General features: G+C 40.3%; 4 annotated features.

Annotated features, from left to right (window-relative positions):
* Positions 343 to 532: an enhancer, noted in NCBI's record as "active region_25141". NCBI's record gives its function as "activates an Ori minimal core promoter by ATAC-STARR-seq in GM12878 lymphoblastoid cells {active_cell/tissue: GM12878}" and the evidence as "EXISTENCE:reporter gene assay evidence [ECO:0000049][PMID:35858748]".
* Positions 8,111 to 8,738: an enhancer, noted in NCBI's record as "H3K27ac-H3K4me1 hESC enhancer chr6:137910259-137910886 (GRCh37/hg19 assembly coordinates)". NCBI's record gives its function as "activates a minimal SCP1, AML or CMV promoter by ChIP-STARR-seq in naive H9 embryonic stem cells {active_cell/tissue: H9 hESC(naive)}" and the evidence as "EXISTENCE:reporter gene assay evidence [ECO:0000049][PMID:30033119]".
* Positions 8,111 to 8,755: a biological region, named in NCBI's record as "Sharpr-MPRA regulatory region 13388".
* Positions 8,461 to 8,755: an enhancer, noted in NCBI's record as "tiled region #13388; HepG2 Activating DNase unmatched - State 8:EnhW, and K562 Activating DNase matched - State 12:CtcfO". NCBI's record gives its function as "activates a minimal TATA promoter and a strong SV40 promoter by Sharpr-MPRA in HepG2 and K562 cells {active_cell/tissue: HepG2 | K562}" and the evidence as "EXISTENCE:reporter gene assay evidence [ECO:0000049][PMID:27701403]".

Below are 24,622 nucleotides of genomic sequence, written 5' to 3' on the forward strand. Positions count from 1 at the left end.
GCTTCCTTATATCTTAAACCAGAGGTTTGCAAACTAGGGCCCCTGGGCCAAATCCAGCCCACTATCCACTTTTGTATAGAAAGTTTATTGGAACACAGCCATGTCCATGTCCATGGCCATGACCTCTTCCCTAGGTCAGCCTTCTTGCTTCAATGATTGTTGTTAGCTCAGTGTTGTCTGTGTTAGCCTCCAGAAACAGAAACTTAACAGTTGTGGTCTCTGAATTTGAGGAACTCACTGTCAAGTAGGACATAGGCATGTAAAATAGAGTCTCAAGTGAAAAGAACTATCAGCCTTTGGGTCAGGAAAGGCATTTTTGGAAATGTAGTACCTAGATTGGAAGCTAAAGATAATTAGAGTTTAGTCAGGCAGAAATATGGGGAGTAGGGTGGGAAGAGGTGATGGCTGAGATAGAGCCTTCTAGGCACAGAAAACACGTGTGCGTTGGCCCAGAAACAACAAGAACTGAGATGCTCAGTTCTGCAGCAGCACAAGTGTGGGGAGAGAAGAAAGAGAATAAAGCCAGACAGCAGCACTGGCCTGAATAACAATGACCTTGAAAGCTTCAGGGAGGAATCTAGATTTTATTCTGAGGGTAATGCGGAGCAATTAAAGGTATTTAAACAGGAGTGACACAATCAGATGTTCACTTTTGATATTACTTGAGTTGGGAAGGAATGTTTAGTATATATTAAAATTTGACCCAAGAGAAGGATATTAAGAGAAGGAAGTGCCTTTGCCTATAAAACTACCTTGATAAATGCTTCATGAGAAGGTGTCACTCTGAGCATGGAGTGGTCAGTTGCCAACCTCCAGAGAAGAGATTTTTAAAAATAGTTTGGCATAAGATCAAAGATTCATGTGTTGCTTTGGGTGATGCAGGGATTGTGGGGAGTAGTGAGAGCAGGGAAAGATGAAGGGAGTAGAAGGGCTTGAGGCTGAAGGACTAGATAAGCCTGTCAGAGTAAGACAGTAATCAGGCACTACTTTCTTATTGGAAAGCTGAATTAAAAGGTAAATAAAGAATACTTGTGACCATTACTTCTGTCACTATTATCACCACTAAAAAATGTAAGCATCACTTGGAATGGAGTTCTCCCACCTTTATTAATTTGTTCATTTCATTACTTGTAAGTGAACATATAGTCCTGCAGTTTGTATCTGCAGTGTAGTTTCTCCCATTTTTTTTTTGTTTGTTTTTGTTTTTGTTTTTAGAGATGGAGTCTCGCTCTGTCGCCCAGGCTGGAGTGCAGTGGCGTGATCTCAGCTCACTGGTTCATGTGATTCTCCTGCCTCAGCCTCCCGAGTAGCTAGGATTACAGGTACGTGCCACCACACCCGGCTGATTTTTGTATTTTTAGTAGTGACGGGGGTCTCACCATGTTGCCCAGGCTGGTCTCGAACTCCTGACCTTAGGTGATCCACCCACCTCAGCCTCCCAAAGTGTTGGGATTGCAGGCATGAGCCACTGCCCCTGGCCTAGTTTCTCCCATTTTTAAAGGTAGCTCTTTATTTTAAAACAGGTGCTCTGATATATTCCTAGTGCTAATATGAACTCTAGAAAGCAATTTAACAAAAACAAAAACAAAAAGGCCCTCACCTAGTAATTTACTTTTAGAATTCTTTGGACTCTATCGTAAAGAAATAATCAGAAAAACGGTTATATATTTACATACAAAGATAACCAAAGCATTATAATAGTAGTGATACCTGGAAACAAAAGTAAGTTTTTAAGAGTGGAGAATGGCAAAATAAACTATAGCCTGTGTCTGTGTTGGATTATTTGGTACATATTAAAAATGCTTCCAAAAATAATAATTACTTAGAGAAAGGCATGTAATATGCTTGGTGAAAAAGATGTTAAACATAACCACATAACATATGCACCACATTTTACAGACTCCAAAATGTCATTGAAGGTGAGAACAGACAGGGAAGGACTCTAGGAACTTGGACTTTGAGTCTTAGTCTCCACTCTTGAGAGAATAAAATGGTCACTAGCTCATCCATTTTTTTTGACTCTTAGCTCTGTCCTATTACAGTCTGTCGTTAACTTCTCCAGCAAAGTCTTCTCTATTTTTTGCCTGCTCTCTAGATCTTCTTTTAAACACTTCAGGGACTGCTTGAGCCTTTTGGCTGAACATCTTGTGGCATTCCATGGTAACATAACCGCACCTTCATTAAACAGTGCTTAATGCGCACCATACTCCAGACACTGTTCTAGGCTAAAACTGTAGCTAATACCATGTAGAAGACTGAGTGGTCTCTTCCCTCACCTTAAAAGCTAGGCAAATATAGGGAAAGGAAGTCTTGCTCTCTGATGTTGATCATTTCAATGAGAAGACAAATAAAAAAACAGCTAGGCTACAATGCAATCACAATGTGATTAAGAAACAACAAATGGGCTGGGCGCAGTGGCTCACACCTGTAATCCCAGCACTTTGGGAGGCCGAGGTGGGTGGATCACTTGAGGTCAGGAGTTTGAGACCAGCGTGGCCCACATGGCGAAACCCTGTCTCTATTAAAAGTACAAAAAAATTAGCCAGGCGTGGTGGTGGGTGCCTATAATCCCAGCTACTCAGGAGGCTGAGCCAGGAGAATTGCTTGAACCCGGGAGGCAGAGGTTGCAATGAGCTGAGATCGCACCTCTGCACTCTACCCTGGGTGACAGAGCAAGACTCCATCTCAAAAAAAAAAAAAAAGAAAAAGAAGAAACAACAAATGTACAGTAAACAGAAGTGTCACCGGAGTTCAAATAAAGGGAAAGTTAATATGGATCAAAACCGCCTGAGATGGGGGTCATCAACTTAGTAACATTTAAGTGAATCATAAAGGATACAGAGATGGTCTTATTTAGAGAGAGGAAAAGAAAAGGGCATTCCAGTTTGCCGGGAACAACAAAAAGAAGGACTTAAATCAGAAACTTTGTATGTCGTCACCCTTCAGCTCTGCTCCTTTACGTCTTGCTTTGTCCCTAGTTGGCTGTAACACCTGTGGAATATTACCAACTAAGCCCTTGCTTAGTTGCAAGTGGGATTACAGGTGCACGCCTGTAATCCCAGCTACTAGGGAGGCTGAGGCAGGAGAATTGCTTGAACCCGGGAGGCGGAGGTTGCAGTGAGCCGAGATCTCACCATTGCACTCAAGCCCGGGAGACAGAGTGAGACTGCATCTCTTCAAAAGCAGCATGAATTCCCAACTTTTCAAACAAACTTTTCTCTATACAGTGGAATTCGAGACTCTAGAAAATGGTCTGCATCATCTTTGAGATTTGCTCAAGGATATCTTCCTTCCCCATCCTTAACTGTGCCCCCAGGGAGAAGCTCTGCAGGGAGGCAGAGCAGTGAAATTATCATGTTGCTAATGTGAATTGAGTGTTTTCATTCTCACAACAGCTCTCCCAGGTGGGTTGCTTCACATCTGAGGAAACCGAGATCAGAAAAAGTAAGTTGTTAACCCCTACACGGTGGAGCCGGGTCTCAAACGTGGTCTGGCTAACTGTAGAGCCAGGCTCTTCAAGATTCTGTACATGAGGCAACCACTCTAACTATCCTGGGCCGCTCTTTTCTGCATGATGAATTCTTTTTTGATTTTAACTTTTTTTACATACTTATAAAAATACCTTTTTATATTTATACAGTTAATTTAAACTTTTAATATACATATAGAAAAGTACATTACCATATGTGAACTGATCAATTAATTTTTAGAAATTGAGTACAGATGTAACACAGGGAACCAGCATTCAGATAAAGGAACAGAAAACGGCCAGGCACATTGGCTCACACCTGTAATTCTAACACTTTGGGAGGCTGAGGCAGGTGGATCATTTGAGGTCAGGAGTTCGAGGCCAGCCTGGCCAACATGGTGAAAGCTCGTCTCTACTAAAAATGCAAAAAACAAACAAACAAACAAACAAAAACCTAGCCAGGCATGGTGGTGCACGCCTGTAATCCCAGCTACTAGGGAGGCTGAGGCAGGAGAATTGCTTGAACCTGGGAGGCGGAGGTTGCAGTGAGCCGAGATCTCACCATTGCACTCAAGCCCGGGCGACAGAGTGAGACTGCATCTCTAAAAAAGAAAAAAGAAACAGAAAACAACCAGTACTCCAGAAGCTGTCCTTATGTGTCAATTATGACTGGACTGTCTCTCTCAAAGTTGTATGTTGAAGACCCCATTCTCAGTGTGACTGTATTTGGAGACAGGGCCTTTAAAAAGGTAATTAAGGTTAATGAGCTCATAAGGATGGGATCCTAATCCAATAGCACTGGTGTCCTAATAAGAAGAGAAAGAGACACCAAGGATGTGTGTCAACAGGTCACAGGCCATGTGAAGATGGAGCAAGAAGGCAGACATCTGAAGCAAAGGAGGGAGGCCAGAAATAACCAACCCTACCTGCACCTTGATCTTAGAGTTTCAGCCTCCAGAACCGGGAGAAAATACATGTCTGTTATTTAAGCCACCTAGATTAATATTTTGTTATTGCAGTGCTAGCAGACTAATATAACGTCCTTAAAAGGGCTACACCTGCCCCAGGGGAACCACTATCCTGACTTCCAAGAGCATTTGTTTTTTGTCTGTTTTTGTACTTTACATCTATTGGAATCCCACAATATATCGCCTTGTGTCTGACTTCTTTTGCCCTATAATAGCTATAAATTTCCCTTTAAGCATGGCTTTAGCTGCATTCCACAAATTTTAAGATGCTATCAGCCTTTAATTCAAAATATTTTAAAATTTTCCTTGACCTGTGAGTTATTTAGTAGTATGTCCCTTAATTTGTAAATACTTGGGCTTTTTTCCAACTATCTTTTGGTTATTGATCTTTAATTCTATTGTGGTCAGAAAACATACACTGTAAGATTTAAATCTTTTTAAATTTATTGAGATTTGTTTTATGGGCCAGAATATGGTCTATCTTGGTGAATGTTCCATCTGCAACTGAAAAGAATGTTTCTACAGCAGCCATTGAGGTAGTGTTCTAAAGATGCTAATTAGGGAAAATTGGTTGAGAGTTGTTCAAATCTTTTATATCCTTCCTTACTGGTTTTTTTTGCCTACTTGTTCAAGTAATTACTGAGAAAAATGTAAATTTGCACTGTAACTGAAGATATGTCTGTTTCTTTTTTTTAAGTCTCTTTGGTTTTTGCTTCATATATTTTGAAGCTCTTTTATTAGATGTATACACATTTAGGATTACTGTCTTCTTGATGAACTAGATGTCTTTCATTGTTAAATATCCCTCATTATTGCCACTAATCTTCCTTGCTTTGAAATCTACTATAGCCACTCCAGCTTTTAAATTATTAGTGTTTGCGTGGCATACCTTTTGCTTTTAATCTATCTGTGTCTTTATATTTAAATATCTCCTACAAGCAACATATAATTGGGTCTTGTACTTTAGGCACTGTTAATCAATGCCTACAAATAGTCATTTCATACCTTCTGTCTGTTTTTATAGCTATTTACTATGGGATAAGTACAATGCTCATCATTCCATTACAGATGGAACCAAAGCTATAATTTCTTCTTTTTTGAGTACGTTTTTCTTTTGTGTGTGTGTGTGTGGTGGCTGTATGAGAGAGAGACAGAGAGAGAGAAAGAAAGAGAGAGAGAGAGAATCACCCTTTTTCTCTTAAGTAGCTGGTGAAGGAATGAGAGGGTGTCCTTTTCTTTTACAGGCAGTATGGATTAGAGGACACCTGCATCAGAATCCTTAAGCTCTACTCTGTTCTGCTGAATCAAACTCTCTGGGGGATGGAGCCTAAGAATCTGCATTTTAACAACTCTCCATGTAATTTATGTTCTATAAAACTGGAGAGCCACTGCCTTGTAGAAAAAACTCTTTCTTATCTTCCCTGAGTTTCAGCAGTCAGACTGGTAACTTGGAGGGCCAGGAATATAACGTGGGTGGCGCGCGAGTGGGTAGGGAGGGGGCATAAATGGGAAAGGCCCTGAGAAAGTCCTCACCCACTCTCTGGTGCTTTTGCTTCCATGTGATCCAGCTCAGCTCACCAAGTAGGAAGAGAACAGAGAGAAATTTGGAATCAAAGCCATAGCAAGTACGGGGCTTTTATCCTGGAGTTACAAGTGACGTATATGATAAAATAACTGGTATATTGTGTAGTCATTTAATAATTCTAGCATTTAAGCCGGGCACGGTGGTTCACGCCTGTAATCCCAGCATTTTGGGAGGCTGAGGCAGGTGGATCACCTGAGGTTGAGAGTTCATGACAAGCCTGACCAACATGGAGAAACCCCATCTCTACTAAAAATACAAAATTACCTGGGCATGGAGGTGCACGCTTGTAATCCCAGCTACTCGCGAGGGTGAGGCAGGAGAATCGCTTGAACCCGGGAGGCGGAGGTTGTGGTGAGCCGAGATCGCGCCATTGCCCTCCAGCCTAGGCAACAAGAGCGAACCTCTCTCTCTCAAAAAAAGAGAAGTAATTCTAGTATTAATAATCATATTCTTCACTTTCACCCTGTATTCATAACAAACAATAAATACCACAAACAGCTACATTCTCAGTATAATATGGATAAGTGTCACACTACATATAGGTCTATAAAACTTTTAGCATGCGAATTTTAGAAAATACTGTGCATTTGTTTGTTTGCTTAATTTAAGAGCTAGCATAAATATCATTTACTATGGGGTAAACAGATAACAGGGAATGGTTAAATATTTACATAACATGTACTTAATTACCTCTGTTTCCCCAGTGTCTAGCACAGTGCCTACTCCATAATAGACAATTCAATAATATTTGTTGAACAAACAACTAAATTAAGGTGACATTATGAAATATTCTATAAGTGGGGCTGCTCATATTGCTTGCTTACCCTGGGCACCAGAACTGACTCCCTAGTTATCTTGATTCAATTGTAGAGTCCAGCTGGTATCAATCTGGCTATAACAGCATGTACAAGTATATTTGATCATAGAATTCCATAGAATTATAATAGTATGAACACCAGTAGGAACTCATGTTGTACAATGTGTGCTTAGAGTAGACATTAGAATGTCTCAAAAGTAGATTGTCGTTGGAAATGACAAAAATTGTTCCACATGCCTTTAAAAATGTATAAGAAGAAAGACAAGTAGCATGTTTGAGAAATTAAAGCACTTGTATTTCATCAAAGCAAAATGTGTTTAAAGTATTGAAATTAGAGGGTTAGATACACAACCCAGCAAACACCTGAGATGGTTTGTTGGTAAATGCTAACTATGCATCAATGGAAAAGTGGTAAGCTTTCATGAAGCAGGTTATCTGCTGTGTAACTAAGACAAGGACTGGCCCCTAGATCAGACCCAAAGAAAGGGTGAGTAAAGGAACCCCAGAGCACCATATTCCCATGGTGGACCTTTGAGATCCTAGCTAGAAGACTTCTCATGACCCCCAAGCAGACCTTCAGAATGGTAGGGAGAGCTGTGTGGAGAATACATACAGGCACTGCTTAAACCTGAGTGGATCCCAAAATGCTTCAGTGTGCTGGGCAGCTGCAGCAAAGTGTGACTCTGGGAACCACCTTCCCCCATCCCCAACAAAGCTCTGCATCCTTCCCTAAGCAGCTGCAGTTTCTGCTATCTGCCTGCAGGAGAGAGCAAAGTCCACGCATGCTCATGCACCCAAGACAGGCCCCGCTGCCATGTGTGCATCCGAACCACATGCCCTCATGCCTGCTGGTCCCTCCCAAGACTGCCTGCCTGGCCATTCTTGCAGGGGAAGCCCAATGCATAGCCACCATCGCCCAGCCTGAGTGGTTTCTTGGTAACCTGGGAGTAGTCCACCTCTGTATCACAGCTGGTGCTTGATCCCAAGGGGCCAAAGGATAAATCTGCTGGCCTGGGTCCAGTTCTCCAGGACTGGAGCACACTGCCCAGGGGTAGGGAGATGAGATCTGTGGCCTGACCTTGAGTTGGGGAGGAAACTCAACTGTCAGAACACAGAGAAGAGTGTGAAGTGGGTTAGTGTGATGGTGTGGGGAGCTGGGCGTCCCTCCCTTCATGAGGCCAGACAGGAAAGGGTGGGGTCTCTTAGTGGCAGTTTCTACTCCACGGGTTCTAGCAGACCTGAACGCCAGGAACGGTTTGGCAATCTGGGCACAGATAGCTTGGGACTAGACTAACCAGTCAAGCCTGTTGCCCTAGCCATTTGCTGCAGGGAGAGCAAATCAGTGTGTGAGAGCTGTGCAGGCCTGCAGCCGCCTTCTAGGCTGAAAATCCCTGGCAGCCCCTGGTCCCCTGAGCTGGCTCTGTGGGGGCAGGGTAGGGGCCTGAAAGCTTCCCCTAGACCCCTGCTAAGGTCAGCACTTGTACCTGCCTTAAGAGCCTGGTTCTGGGTTCAGCTGACCCAGGCCCTACCCAGCTTTGCTCCCTATAGCCACTTTGGTAGCAGAACGTGAGATGGGATCCCTGAAAGCCCCATGCCCTGCCCATTACCAGGGACACATACCCCGTTAACAAAGGTCAAGTAAAAATTCCACTGCCGTCACTGTAACTGCCTCTTATCTGCAGTTGCCACCTACTGGCAAGGAGGTCAAACTGCACAGTGTTTCACAACTACTGACATCATTGTATAGCAGTCAGCAGGCTTTTGCCCGCAAGTGCTATCTACTGGCCTGTAGGGTGAACTGCACAACCCAATATACTTCCTGCTAACAGATGTGCACAGTGCTAAGGAAGGAGATAAGCTTCCCCAGACCTCAACTTACTCATCTCTGTAGGTGACAGACAGCCTGACCACATGTACAGTACTCCACTACTACAACCTACAAATAACTACCATTTGAGAAAACCACACTAAGGCTATCTATAACCAAGGAATTCGTAAGGAGCCTTGGGCCCCTAAAAGCATGCAGAAACAAATCCTACCCAACACACACAGCTGTAACACCCTCAAGGAGAGAAGAAAAAATCCCACTCCAAAAGAGTAACTTCAAAAATAAAAAGTGGCAGCTTCCACGGATGAGAAGAACTAGCACAAGAAACCAGCATGAAGAAACAGAATTTTGTGACACCCTCAAAGGACCACACTAGGTCTGTAGCAATGGATCCTAACCAAAATGAAAACTTTGAAATGACAGATAAAGAATTCAAAGTATGAATTGTAAGGAAGCTCAATGAGATCCAAGAGAAAGTTGAAAACCAACACAAAGAAATCGGGAAAACAATTCAGGATAGGAAAGACAAGATAGATGTATTTTAAATACAAAAAAAAAAAAAAAAACAAAAAAAAAAAACAAAGGAGAAAAAACCCTTCAGGAAATAAAAAATTCACTGAAGGAATTTTCAAAACACAATTTAAAGCTTTAACAAGAGACTACATGAAACAAAATAAAGAATTTCAGAGCTTGAAGACTGATCTTCCAAATTAACCCAGTCAGACAAAAACAAAGAATTTTTTTAATGAAAAACACGTTTGAGAAATATGTGGTTCCATATGGTGACCAGACCTGTAATTTATAGGCATTCCTGAGGGAGAAGAAGAAAAAGTAAGAAATTTGGGAAAAGTATTTGAGGGATAATTCAGAAAAATTTCCCTGGAGACATAGACATCCAGATACAAGAAATTTAGAGAACATCAGGAAGATATTCTACAAGATAAACATCACCAAGGCATATCATCATCAGACTATCCAAGGTCAAAGTGTAAGAGCAATCTTAAAAGTAGTTAGAAAGAAGCATCAAATCACCTATAAAGGAAATCCCATGAGACTAACATCAGACTTCTCAGCATAAGCCTTGTGAAAGAAGAGATTGGGGGCCTATTTATTTTTCACCTCATTAAAGAAAAAAAAAAGTCAGCCAAGAATTTTATATCCTGCCAAACTAAGCTTCATAAATTAAAGAGAAATAGTCTTTCCTAGACAAGCAAATGCTAAGGGAGTTTATTACCACTAGACCAGTCCTACAAGAAATGCTCAAAGGAGTTCTAAACATGGAAATGAAAGGACAATACTAGTCATCATAAAAGTACATGTAAGTAGAAAGCTCACAGAACCTATACAGCAATTATACAATTGAGACTCCAAGGCAACTAGCTAACAAAATTCTAACAAGAACAAAACCTCACATGTCAATACTAACCTTGAATGTAAATGGCCTGAATACACCTCTTAAAAGACATAGCTGGCAAAACAAAACCCAACCATCTGGTGCCTACAAGAGACCAACCTAATAGCTAAAGGCACCTGCAGACTCAAAATAAAGGAATGAAAAAAAGACATATGTGAATAGAAAACAAAACCGAGCAGGAGTAGCCATTCTTATATCAGATAAAACAGACTTTAAACCAATGACAGTACAAAAAGACCAAAAAAAGAAAAGCATTATATAATGATAAAGGGTTCAATATAACAAGAAATTTAACTGTCTTAAATATATATGCACCCAACACCAGAGCACCCAGATTCATACTACTAGATCTAAGAAACTGCTAAACCTAAGAAAACAGAGTGACAACAATACAATAATAGTGAGGAACTTTGACACCCCGCTGACAACACTAAGCAGTTCATCAAAGCAGAAGATCAACAAAGAAACTCTGGACTTAGACTAGACTCTAGACCAAAAGAACCTAATAGACATTTACAGATCATTCTTTCCAACAACCACATGATATACATTTTCTCATCTGTGCACAGAACATTCTCCAAAACTGACCATGTGCTTGGCCATAATGCAAATCTTAATAAATTTTTAAAAATTTAAGTCATATCAAGTTTCTTCTCAGAAATAGTGGAATAAAATTAGGAATCAATACCAAGAGAAACTCTCAAAACTACATAAGTACACAAAAACTAAGCAACTTTGAGTAAACAATGAAGTTAAGGCAGACATAAAAAATTTTTGAAATGAATGAAAATTGAGACACAACATATCAAAACTTCTGGGATACAGCAAAAACAGTGCTAAAAGGAAACTTTATAGTGTTAAATGGCTACATCAAAAAAAATCTCCAATTACCAATCTAATGTTATACCTCAAGGAACTAGAAAAGCAAGAACAAACCAAACCCAAAGAAGCAAATAACAAGAAATAACAACATGTTATTTCTTTCTTTTGCTGGCTTTGTGCTTGGTTTATTCTCAGAGCAGAGCTAAATGAGATTGAGACCAAAAAAAATGATGTAAAGGATCAATGAAGTGAAAAGGTGGTTGATGGACAAAATTGATAGACAGCTAGGTAATTAGTCTAACCAAGAAAAAAAGAGAGGAGATTCAAATTAAGTACAATCAAAAATTATAAAGTTGGCATTACAACTGATACCACAGAAATGCATAAGATCATCAGAGATTATTATAAATCTCTCTATATATACAAACTAGAAAACCTAGAGGAAATGAATAAATTCCTGGAAATGTACAACCTCCCAACATTTAATCAAGAAGGAATTGAAATCCTGAACAAACTAATAATGAGCAGTGAAAGTGAATAAGTAATTAAGAAAAAAAAGAAAAAAAAACAACAAACTTTCAACAAAAAAAGCCCAGGACCAGAGATTCACAGACAAATATTATGAGATATACAAGGAAGAGATGTGTATTAGTCTGTTCTCATGCCGCTAATAAAGACATACCTGAGACTGGGTAATTTATAAATGAAAACAGTTTAACTGACTAACAGTTCCACATGGCTGGGGAGGCCTCACAATCATGGCAGAAGGCAAATGAGAAGCAAAGTCATGTCTTACATGGCAGCAGGCAAGAGGAGCATGTACAGGGGAACTGCCCTTTCTAAAACCATCAGATCTCATGGGACTTATTCACTATCCTGAGAACAGCATGGGAAAAACCTGCCCTTATGATTCAATTCCCTCCCACCAGGTCCCTCTCATGACATGTAAGGATTATTACAATTCAAGGTGAGATTTGGGTGAGGACACAGAGCCAAACCATATCATTCTGCTCCTGGCTCTTCCCAAATCTCATGTGCTCACATTTCAAAAACCAATCATGCCTTCCCAACAGTGCCCCAGAGTCTTAACTCATTTCAGCATTAATTCAAAAGTCCACAGTCTAAAGTCTCATCTGAAATAAGGCTGGTTCCTTCCATCTATGAGCCTGTAAAATCAAAAGCAAATTAGTTACTTTCTAGACACGACAGAATTACAGATATTGAGTAAATACACCCATTCCAAATGCGAGAAATTGGCCAAAACAAATGGGCTACAGGCCCCACGCAAGTCTGAAATCCAGCAGGGCAGCCAAATCTTAAAGCTCCGAAATGACCTCTTTTGACTCCATATCTCACATCTAGGTCACACTATTGCAAGAGGTCAGTTCCCATGGCCTTGGGAAGCTCTGTCCCTGTGGCTTTGCAGGGTACAGCTTCCCTCCCAGCTGCTTTCACGAGCTGGTGTTGAGTGTGGCTTTTCTAGGTGCATGGTGCAAGATGTCCATGGAGCTACCATTCTGGGTTCTGGAGGATAGCGGCTCTCTTCTCACAGCTCCACTAGGAAGTGTCCCAGTGGTGACTCAGTGTGGGGGTTCCCAATCCACATTTCCCTTCTGCACTGCCCTAGCAGAGGTTCTCCATGAGGGCTCTGCCTCTGCAGCATACCTCTGCCTGACCATCCAAGTGTTTCCATATATCCTCTGAAATCCCTCTGAAATCCAAGTTCCCAAATCTTGATTCTTGACTTCTGTGCACCCACAGGCCCAACACCATGTGTAAGTTGCCAAGACTTGGGGCTTGCACCCTCTGAAGCAACAGCCTGAGCAGTATGTTGGCCCCTTTTAGCCACAGCTGAAATGGCTGAGACACAGGGCACCAAATCCCTAGGCTGCACACAATAGGGGGGCTCTGGGCCTGGCCCACAAAACATATTTTCCCTTCTAGGCCTCCAGTCCTGTGATGGGAGGGGCTACTGGGAAGGTCTCTGCTATACCCTGGAGACATTTTCCCCACTGGCTTGGCAATTAACATTTGGATCCTCATTACCTATGCAAATTTCTGCAGCCAGCTTTAATTTCTCCTCAGAAAGTGGGGTTTTCTTTTCTATCGCATTATCAGGCTGCAAATTTTCCAAATTTTATGCTCTGCTTCCCTTTTAAATGTAAATTCCAATTCCAAACCATATCTTTGTAAATACATAAAACGGAATGCTTTTAGCAGCACCCAAGTCATGTCTTGAACACTTTGCTGCTTAGAAATTTCTTCTGCCAGATGCCCTAGATTATCTCTCTCAAGTTCAAAGTTCCACAGATTTCTAGGGCAGGGGCAAAATGCTGCTAGTCTCTCTGCTAAAACATAGCAAGAGTCACATTTATTCCAGTTTCCAACAAGTTCCTCATCTCCATCTAAGACCACCTCAGCCTGAACTTTATTGTCCATATCACTATCAGCATTTTGGTTAAAGCCATTCAACAAGTCTCTAAGAAGTTCCAAACTTTTCCACATCTTCCTGTCTTTTGAGCCCTCCAAACTGTTCCACCCTCAGCCTGTTACCCAGTTCCAGAATCACTTCCATATTTTCAGGTATCTTTGCAGTAGCACCCTACTCTACTGGTATTAGTCTATTCTCACACTGCTAATGAAGACATACCTGAGACTGGGTAATTTATAAACGAAAGAGGCTTTCTTGACTCACAGTTCCACATGGCTTGGGAGGCCTCACAATCATGGCAGAAGGCAAATGAGGAGCAAAGTCATGTTTTATATGGTGGCAGGCAAGAGGAACATGTGTAGGGGAACTTCCCTTTATAAAACATCAGATCTTGTGAGACTTATTCACTATCATGAGAACAGCATGGGAAAAACCCATCCCCATGATTCAATTACCCCCACTGGGTCCCTTCCATAACACATGGGGATTATTACAATTGAAGGTGAGATTTGGGTGGGGACACAGAGCCAAACCATATCAATCTGTTACCAATCTTATGGAAACTCTTCCAAAAAATTGAAAAGAAAGAATTCTGCCTAACTCATTCTACATGCAAGTGTCACTGATACCAAAATCATGCAAGGACACAACAAAAAAAAGAAAACTACAGGCTAACATTCCTGAATAACATAGATGCCAAAGTCCTCAACAAAATATTAGCAAACCAAACCACAGCACATCAAAAATAATTCATTATGATTAAGTGAGTTTTATTCCAGAGTTACAAGGATGGTTTGACACTCACAAATCAATAAATGTTATTCACCATCTAAATAGAATTAAAAACAAAAAAAATATGATCATCTCAATAGACGCATACAAAGCATTTGATAAAATCCAACATCCCTTCATGATAAAAATCCTCAACAAACTAGACATTGAAGGAACATACCACAAAATAATAAGAGGCATATATGACAAACCCACAGGCAACATCATACTGAATTGGGAAGAGTTGAAAGCATTTCCACTAAGAACTGGAACAAGACAGGGATGTCCACTCTAACCACTCCTATTCAACGTAGTACAGAAAGTCCTAGCCAGAGCAACCAGACAAGAGAAAGAAATAAAAGGCATTCAAACTGGAAAAGAAGAAGTCAAATTATCTCTGTTTGCTGATGACATGATCCTGGAGACTCCTTCAAAAGACTCCTAAACTTGATAGCTCCAGTGAAATTTCAGGATAAAAAAATCAATGTACAAAAATCAGTAGTATTTCTATACACCAATAATGTTCCAGCTGAGAACCACATAAAGAATTCAGTCTCATTTACAATAGCTACAAAAAATTAAATACCTAGGAATAAATTTAATCAAAGTGGTGAAAGATCTCTACAAGGAGAACTACAAAATGCTAATGAAAGAAGTCATTGACGACACAAATGGAAAAACATCCCATACGCACGGATTGGAAGAATGAATATTATCAAAATGATCATATTGCCCAAAGAAATCTACAGAGTCAATGCAATTCCTGTCAAAGTGCCAATGTCTTATTCACAGAATTAGAAAAAAAAATCCTACAGTTCATATGAAACCAAAAAAAAGCCCAAATAGCCAAAGCAATCTTAAGCAAAACCAAAACAAACCAAAACAAAAAAACAAAATCAAAGCCAGAGGCAACACATAACCTGACCTCAAATTAAATAAAACTATAGTAACTAAAACAGCCTGAGACTAGTAAAAAAATAGACATGTAGATCAATGGAATAGAATAAAGAATCCACAAATTAAGCCACATAGCTACAACCAATTGATCTTTGACAAAGTCGACAAAAATAAATGGGAAAGGATACCCTATTCAATAAATAGTGCTGGAAAAATTGGCTAGCCATATGCAAAATAATAAAACTGGACTGCTATCTCTCACCATATACAAAACTTAACTCAAGATGGTTTAAAGAGCTAAACGTAAAACCTGAAACTATAAAAGTTTTAGAACAAAAACCTAGGAAAAACTCTTCTGGACATTGGCCTAGGCAAAAAATTTATAATGAAGACCCCAAAAGCAAATGCGACAAAAATAAAAATAGACAAATGGGACTTAATTAAACTAAAAAGCTTCTGCACAGCAAAAGAAATAACAGAGTAAACAGATAATCTACAAAATAGGAGAAAATATTTGCAAATTATTCCTCCAACAAGGGACTAATATCTAGAATCTACAACGAACTCAAACAACTCAACAACTTTTTAATGAGTTTTTAAAAAGTGGGCAAAGGACATTAACAAATATTTCTCAAAAGAAGACATACAAGAAGCCAATAAAATATGAAAAGATGCTCAAAATCACTAATCATCAGAGAAATGCAAATTAAAACCACAGCAAGATATCTTACATAGGTCACAATGACTATTATTAATAAGAGAAAAACAAATGTTGGCATGGGAGTGAAGAAAAGAGAATCCTTATATACTGTTGGTGGGAATGTAAATTAGTACAGCCTTTATGGAAAACAGTATGAGATTTCTCCATAAACTGAAAATAGAACTACCATTTGATCCAGCAATCTACTACTTGGCATCTACCCAAAGGAAAAGAAATCATTATATTAAAAAGACACTTGCACTGTATGTTTATTGCAGGATTATTCACAATAGCAAAGTCATGGAATCAACCTAAGTGTCCATCAACAGTTGATTGAATAAAGAAAATGTAGTTCAGCTGGGCGCGGTGGCTCATGTCTGTAATCTCAGCACTTTGAGAGGCCGAGGCGGGTGGATCATGAGGTCAGGAGTTCAAGACAAGCCTGGCTAAGATGGTGAAACCCCATCTCTACTAAACATACAAAAATTAGCTGGGCATGGTGGTGGGCGACTATAATTCCAGCTACTCAGGAGGCTGAGGCAGGAGAATCGCTAGATCCCGGGAGGCAGAGTTGCAGTGAGCCGATATCATGCCACTGCACTCCAGCCTGGGTGACAGAGTGAGACTCCACCAAAAAAAAAAAAAAGAAAGAAAGAAAGAAAGAAAGAAAGAAAGAAAGAAAGAAAGAAAGAAAGAAAGAAAGAAAGAAAGAAAGAAAGAAAGAAAGAAAATGTAGTATATATGCACCATGGAATACTATGCAGCTTTCAAAAAGAATGAAATCATGTCCTGTGCAGCAACGTGGATGGAGTTGGAGGCCATTATTCTAAGTGAAATAACTCAGAAACAGAAAATCAAATACTGCATGCTCTTATATGTAGGACCTTATAAGAAAATTATGTGAATACATGAACATAAAGATGGAAATAACGGACATTGGAAACTCTAAAAGTGGGAAGGGAGGAAGGGGGTTGAAAGTTCAAGGAACTACCTATTTGTTACAATGTTCACTATTTGGCTGATGGATAACTAGAGACCCAACCTTACCATTATGCAATATATCCAAGTAACAAACTTGCACATGTAACCCCTGAATCTGAAATAAAATTTTTAAAAAGAAGATAATAAAAAAAGTTAGAAAGAAATGTTTTCTCATTACCTGGGCTTTTCCACACAGTAATATATCTAGGCCAACAGGATCATAAGTGACACAGCATTATCACTGATACAGTGCTTCTCTGGAATTTTTTTCTAAGTCAACAATATCCACTGATGCTGATTTTTAAAAAAGCAAAATCTTGTCAGAAGTTATCGATAGAAATTTTCCCAACAATAATCAGGTAGTCATTAACAATGGCTCAACTTATGTAGTACCAACCAGGCACATGACTCGATTGAAGTGACAATGATATAAGCATCTATGAACAAACCTGGGCATTGCAGCTAATAACAACCACTTTACTGACACCAACAGCAAATGGGGATGCATTTAATTATAACACAGAGGCTGATATCAGTGATGTTAAAATATATTTTTTAAATGTACACCTGAGATGATTTGGCTCTATGTCCCCACCCAAATCTCATGTTGAATTGTAATTCCCAATGTTGGGGGAGGGGCCTGGTAGGAGGTGATTGAATTATGGGGGCAGATTTTCCCCTTGTTGTTCTCATGATACTGAGTGAGTTCTCACTACATCTGATAGTTTAAAAGTGTGTGGTACTTTCCACTTCGCTCTCTCTTCCTCCTGCTCTGGTCACGTGAAGACGTGTCTTGCTTCCCCTTCGCCCTTCTGCCATGATTGTAAGTTTCCTGAGGCCTTCCAGCTGTGCTTCCTGTACAGCCTGTGGAACTGTGAGTCAATTAAACTGCTTTTCTTCACAAATTACCCAGTATCCAGTGGTTCTTTATAACAGGGTGAGAACGGACTAATACAATACCTTAGAAGCAAAAGAAAGGTATATTGCAAAAAAGACTTTGCAGCCCTATAATACACCCAACAAAATGTTTGTGATGAGTTCCCCGTTAACAGGGCAATTATTTTTTCTATGATGTTAGACTCAGTTTGTCTCTCACTCTAATCTAACTGAGCATTTTGTGTCCTTTTAGGCTCTGCCCCCATCAGCATTCTGCATGCCCTGTGGAGGAAGGCAGAAGTAATGTTCTACGTTTATGCCTTCTGGCATGGAAGGAGAGCACTCTTCAGTTAGAGTCTAAGCTGGAGCATGTTATAGTATGGTTCTCTTCATCAGCTTGGGGTGCAAATGAAGTCACGTTCTTTAGTGTGGTTTTTTTTTCAATTAGTAACCCAAGCAGGAAGTCTTCTGCTTGAGACCGCCCCACTCCTGAATTGTCTGATGGCACCAAGGGTAAATTACTTCATTCAAGTCATTCTGCTTCTAAGTGCCAGTTGGAGGGTTGAATAGGAAAATTTGGAAGCTGGTGGTGGTCCTGCACAATGCTCAAAAACACTTTCCCACTGAAGTGATGCTTACAGGCCAGGATCCCTGAAGGGCTAGTGTTGCCCATCTTTGGGGCTTCCTGCTTCCACTCCTGCAGGCCACACCCACTTGTGAACCAAATCCACTGTGGGAAGTGGTTCCAAAGTCAGCTGCCAGTCCCAATTCCACATGGTGCCTATACACTTGGCCCCTAGTGTTGGGCTGGGTTGACTTCTCCTTCCAATACAGTGAGTTCCACTTCAGGGACTTTGGAGTCCTTTCTGACCCATGGACCTCAGCTGGGACCATCCTAACCTCTCAGTTTGATTCTAATCAAGTTGATTCTGAAAACGAAAGTCACCAGCATCTCAATCCCTTTCATTCCAAAACATTCCTGATTCCTCCACAGCATCATTCTTCTTCTACAATGTGATCACCTGTGCACACCAAATGATGTCTTCATGAAGCAGTCTTCATCAACCACAAATTTTCCATTTTATTCCTTCCTTAGGATACTTGGTACCTCCTCATCCTAGAATATGTAATTTAGAGGCATCTTCCCAGTGATTCCTCAAAGGTCTGCCAAAGTGAATTCTTGGCCCACCTTTTTGAAAAAGAATTGCTGGAAAATGTTCTTACTAAAAATATTAAGTTCTTGGGCTGGGTGCAGTGGCTCATGCCTGCAATCCCAGCACTTTGCGAGGCCGAGGCAGGAAGATCACTTGAGGCCAAGAGTTTGACACCAGTTTGGGCAACATAGCGAGACACTATCTCTGCAAAAAAAAAAAAAAAAAAGAAAGAAATTAACTGGACATGGTGGCACATACCTGTAGTCCTAGCTACTCAGGAGGTTGAGGCAGGATAATAACTTAAGCCCAGGAGTTTGAGGCTGCAGTGAGCCATGATCATGCCACTGCACTCCAGCCTGAGTGACAGAGACTCTGTTTCTAAAAAGTATTTTGAAAGAAACAAAAGTATTACGTTATCTTTCACCAGGGACCCTCTGACACACACACACACACACACAAACATACACACACACACACACACAATGTTTTGTCCCTACCTTTGGCTTACACAGGGGTGACATGACACTTCTTGGTTAACTGCAAACCTCATTAACCATCCTTCCCTGATCATTGCAGCTTTGAGGTTTTCCAATTTTGTTTTTACTTAATGTTTTATATAGCTTATACTTAGTAATTATAATGCATGTGTTAGTAGTTACCCTAAAATTGAGGCAAAATTTTTAAAATAAGCAACTTTAAAAAATTTACCATAAAATTTAAGAATCAAGGCCAGTCGCGGTGGCTCATGCCTGTAATCCCCACACTTTGGGAGGCCAAGGCGGGCAGATCACCCGAGGTCAGGAGTTCCAGACCAGCCTGACCAACATGGTGAAATCCCGTCTCTACTAAAAATGCAAAAAGTTAGCTGGGCATGATGGCATGTGCCTGTAATCCTAGCTACTTGGGAGGCTGAGGCAGGAGAATTGCTTGAACCCGGGAGGTGGAAGTTGCAGTGAGCCGAGATTGCGCCATTGCACTCCAGCCTGGGTGACACAGCAAGACTCTGTCTCAAAAAAAAAAAAAAATCAAATAAATCATACTATATATATATATATATAAATGTATAAAATATACACACACAATTAGCTTTGAAGGATAGATTTTCCTCATTTTGACACTGATAAAACAATTAAATACTATAAAAATTCATCTTAGTATAGCCAACCTGTGAAAAAACTTGGAGGAAACTTAAAGTCATATTGCTAAGTGAAAGAAACTGATCTGAAAAGGTTGCATACTGTCATATGATTCTAACTATATGACATTCCAGAAAAGGCAAAGCTATGGAGATAGTTAAAAAGATCAGTGATTTCCAGAAGGAGGAAAGAACAGGCAGAGCACAGGGTATATTCAGGGCAGTGACAATAGTCTGTATGATACTATAATGGTGAACACATCTCGTTATACATCTGTCTAGACCCATGGAATGCGCAACACCAAGAGTGAACTCTAATGCAAACTAGGGCTTTTTGTTCATCATAATCTATCAGTATTGGTTCCTTATTTGTAACAAGTGTACTACAATACTGCAAGATATTAACAACAGAAGAAACTGTAGGGGAAGGTAAGGGCTAAATGGAAACTCTCTGTACTTTCTGCTCAACTTTTCTGTAAACTTAAAGCTGCTCTAAAGATAACATTTATTAGTTAAAAAATTTTAAAAGATCAGTTGACTATACAAGCACATCTTTAGGGTTCTGAACAAAAACCTATTTCTGAAATACTGAATTTGTACGGGGAAAAAAGCAATATTCAATTAAATATGATTGACTTACTAAAACATTACGTTAGGAACAAAAATGTAACATTTATTCCAAGAATATCTTCTGGGATCAGCTCCATTCTACTTCCACCATGCCTACATTTTCTAATTCTACTCTAGTTATGAATAAACATGAAGCTTGATACTCAGGAGTGAATACGCCCACGGCTTAAGCTGATTCTAGGTTCTAATAGAAACAACTCGTAGCTTGAAAGAGGTGTTGTTCTTTTACAATAAAGCAGAATCTGGTTCAATAATGTAAAAGCAGAGGTAGTCCTGCAGGAATTAGACTGTGTCATTTGATTTTTATGGGAGTTATTGTCTAATGAGAGTTAATGATTAAGCACATTTGGTTGTATTGTCTTTTGGTTGTTAACCTATTCTACAAAGTTTATTACAAAAAAAAAAAAACAAGAAAAGCATTTCACTTTCAACATTTTAAGTGATGCTATGTTGGAGTCTGTTTCTAATTATTTTAAGTTAAAAATTTTACATTTTAACAGATTTTTTTAAAAATCAGCGTTATTTTTTATAAATAGAAATCTATGAACTAATAGTATTGAAAATGTTTTGTACTAAATAAAGGGAGGCAAAAGCAAAAGTAACTCAGAAAACACCAGGAAGCTACTTTCCTTTCACTCCGCTTTGTGAATCAAAGTTGAAAAGAAAACCAATAACATCATTGATAAATTTAAAATGAGAATTTTTTAATTTTATTTTTGTCATGATAGAATCGCTAAATCAACTCTGAGCCTGCTCCTTTAACGTGGAAATGACTGCAACCAGTAGTACAAAATTATGGAAAAAAAATTCACCAAATGGGATTTCATTTTAAAATGCAGATCCCATTTGAAGAGCTTCACAAAGGAACACTGCCTCTGACAAGTGGAGAAAAATCTACCCTTCAAAGCTAATTGTGGTATTAAAGTATGTATGAAAGAAAGAAAAATGGCATATAGCTATTAAAACTAGTTTTGTAATGCAGACACACTTTTTCATGGAAACAGTAACAACAGCCTCCAGGGTATGGGGGGCGGGGAGGGGCGTGTGTGCAGAATGAGCAAGAGGGAGATTCTTCCAGATGAATGAACAAATGAATGAATGCTTAAAAAAAAAATCCAAACCCAAAATTGTTTAAGGTGACTAATTAAGACCCCCTCTTAGAAAAGCTGTTGCTAGGTAAACAAAACTGTTTAAAACATGTTCATCATTAAAGTGTCCCCTGACAGAAGGATGAGGCGGCAGACTTGGTGACAGAAGGGAGAAGAAGAGCGGCATATGGCCCCCAGTTCTGTCCCCTGCTGACAAGCTGCCTCTCTGCAAGCCCCTTTAGCTCTGTATTCCATGCACACAGCAGATTGCTATGCCCCAACTTTCCCATCTGTACCCCAGACTCGTGTCCCCACAACGTGGCTGCCATGCAGTCTTTGGCCCTGGGCTGCAGGGAGGGGGCAGGAAGAAGGGCTTCCACAGGATCTTGGGGGAGGATGGAAAGGGAGATTAACAACCAATCATCACAATGCTATCCATAATGTATTGTCTCTGCAGCATTACATGGTACATTTCCAGTGGGGATTAGCCCATCCATCACGGGTCTTTATTGGCCCCCTTTTCTGTTGTTGCATAAAGCGCAAACACAGTCGTAAAATTCTAAACTGCTTAATTGCTGTGCTGTAAAAATTTGCATATCAGAGATATGTCATTCCATCATTAAATTGCACTAGGTATTTGCTACAAGGTCCCAACAATCACGCCAGCGCACCCCTGAAGAAAGGTCATTTACTGGTATTATGCAAAATTTGTGGCAGAATTCAAATCAGTAGCAATTAGGGGTTTGGATACTGTTGGATTCAGTGTGTTTTGATGTCCTCTGGTTCAAGGCTCAGGGCGTGCTGACCCCCTTCCTACATGATCAAAATAGTTAAGCAACATCTTCTGCCAGCTTGGTTTCTGGGCTATGAGTCCTTACAAACTTCTCACCTTCACCATCTGATAGGCGTTAGGAAAGTAAGCTGACTTTTGCACCTCGATTTTGTCTTTGATCAGATTATTGAAATAGCATTACCTAGGTAGCTTGCAGTGCCATACTCAGGCATTTGTGCACCCAATTTTATCCATGTAAGATGTAAGATAGAGGGAGAACTTGGGCAGGGCTAAGCCAGGGTGTTCAGTAGAAACACCTGTACTCAATGCTAGATAGAGATCCTGTAGCAGAGAGATGCCTTTGCAGTGGTGCCCCACCTCCGCAAGTCCCCCAGGGAAGGATGTGCCTGTGGGTGGAGGCAGCAGGAGGCTCCATGACCCGCTACTACTTCCCAGAACTTTTGATACTAACAGAGCTTGTCCTCTCCGTTGGGATGATTTACAGAGCCCCCTCAGCAGGGCTCCCTTCACTTAAAAGCAGCAACTCTTGATTTACCCATGCCTGCACCCCTCTACCCAGGGTCAGAAGAATAACTAATGGGTAACTAATCCAATTGAAGCTACAACGGAGACCCTGAAACCATCAGGGCTTCAGCTGGAATCCAGCCAGGACCCTCAAACAAATGCTGCATCTACTTGCAGCCTGACAACTTTCTGAAACCCAATGATCACGCTGGCATCTGAATGTCTGAAGTCAGCTGTGCTGACCCACAGAAATGGGGTCAAACTCCAGGCAGAATGGGGAGATGATACTCTTTGCCCACCGTCTCCACAGAGGAAGAAATCAAAGATAAACAAACCATAAATATTCATACAGTGGGTGTATCTTGGTTATACAGGATTTTTACTTTCTTTATACAGTTTTGTTTTTTCCCCAAAATCTGTGCAAGGTGCATGTATTAATTCTATAATCAAGGGGGAAAGTTGTTTTGTAAAAGCAGCGGAGGCACCATACATATGCTTTCCTTATTGTGCCCTGGGGTAGAGTGTTAGTGTGGGCTCTGTGAGAAACAAGGGCAATTGAGCTTCCACAGCAGGCTACTCTAGGGACTCTTCAAGCTAGCAATAAGCACCACTCATTTCAGGGTATGTATGTTTTTTGAAAAAGGCAAAATGCATAAAAAATACAGGCCACTCTGGAACTTCTCATGAACTGTGAAAACTAAGATTTTTACCCAGGATGAGTGGCAGAAGGAAGGAAGGAGGGTTTGAGGAGGCAGTTAAAGAATCAACCTATTGGGGATATCTTGTCAAAGGCAATAATAGTAATAATAATTAAAAACAACAGCTAATACCTTTATATAGTGCCAGACATGGCTCTAAGAAGCTTTCATATATTAAGCCATTTAATACTTGTGACAACCCTATTAAGTAGATACTATTTGTATTCCTATTTTACAGATGAAGAAGCTGATGCGCAGAGAGGCTAATTAACTTTCCTGAGCTCACACAGCTAGTGGGTTGTACATGCCAAATCTAAATCCTTAGTTCAGAACTCCTTTCTAATCCATGTATAAATTGGCTCCCTAAGCAGCTTCACCTGGATATTCCAAGGGTACTTCATATTCAAAATGTTCAAATGGAAATCACCATATATTTCTGTGTCTGCATAACCCCCTTTACGTGCTCGACTTCAGTGAATGCCGTTGTTGACATTGTGTCACCCAGGACACAAACCTCAGGGTCTTTTTTGGATCTTCTTTTGTTTGCATTCACTTGCCTGTCGATGGTACCCTCCTAACACCTCTTTGGTGAGATTCTCTGTCTGTCACTGTCACTGCCATAGATCAAGCCCTCACCGCACCATCGTTCAGAAGATTATCAATTTCTCTTGTCCTGAATGGCCCATCTCTTCAGTCTTGATTCCTTCTAATCCATTTTGCACCCTGCCGAGTTTGTTTTCCAGAACATCAATCTTATCACGTCATATCCTCCCTACATTTTAAATGGCTTCCAAACTTCTTATAATAAAATAAAGTTTCTTATCATTCTCTAGATTCATTCTCACTGTTCTGTGTTGTAGAATCCGTATGCTGCAATGTTTCATACACTTTGCTCTTTACAAGTGTTTTCTCCTGCCAGGAATGCGCTCTGCTCTGCTGGAAGAATTCTGCTTAATCTCTAAGATGTGCTTCCACTGTGAAGCCTCCCCTGACACCACCCCGCCCAGACCAAGGCAAAATTAATACCTGTTCTCTATATTTCTGCTATCCCATGTACATCT

Source organism: Homo sapiens, chromosome 6 (genome assembly GCF_000001405.40).
Source record: "Homo sapiens chromosome 6, GRCh38.p14 Primary Assembly".
NCBI lineage: Eukaryota > Metazoa > Chordata > Mammalia > Primates > Hominidae > Homo > Homo sapiens.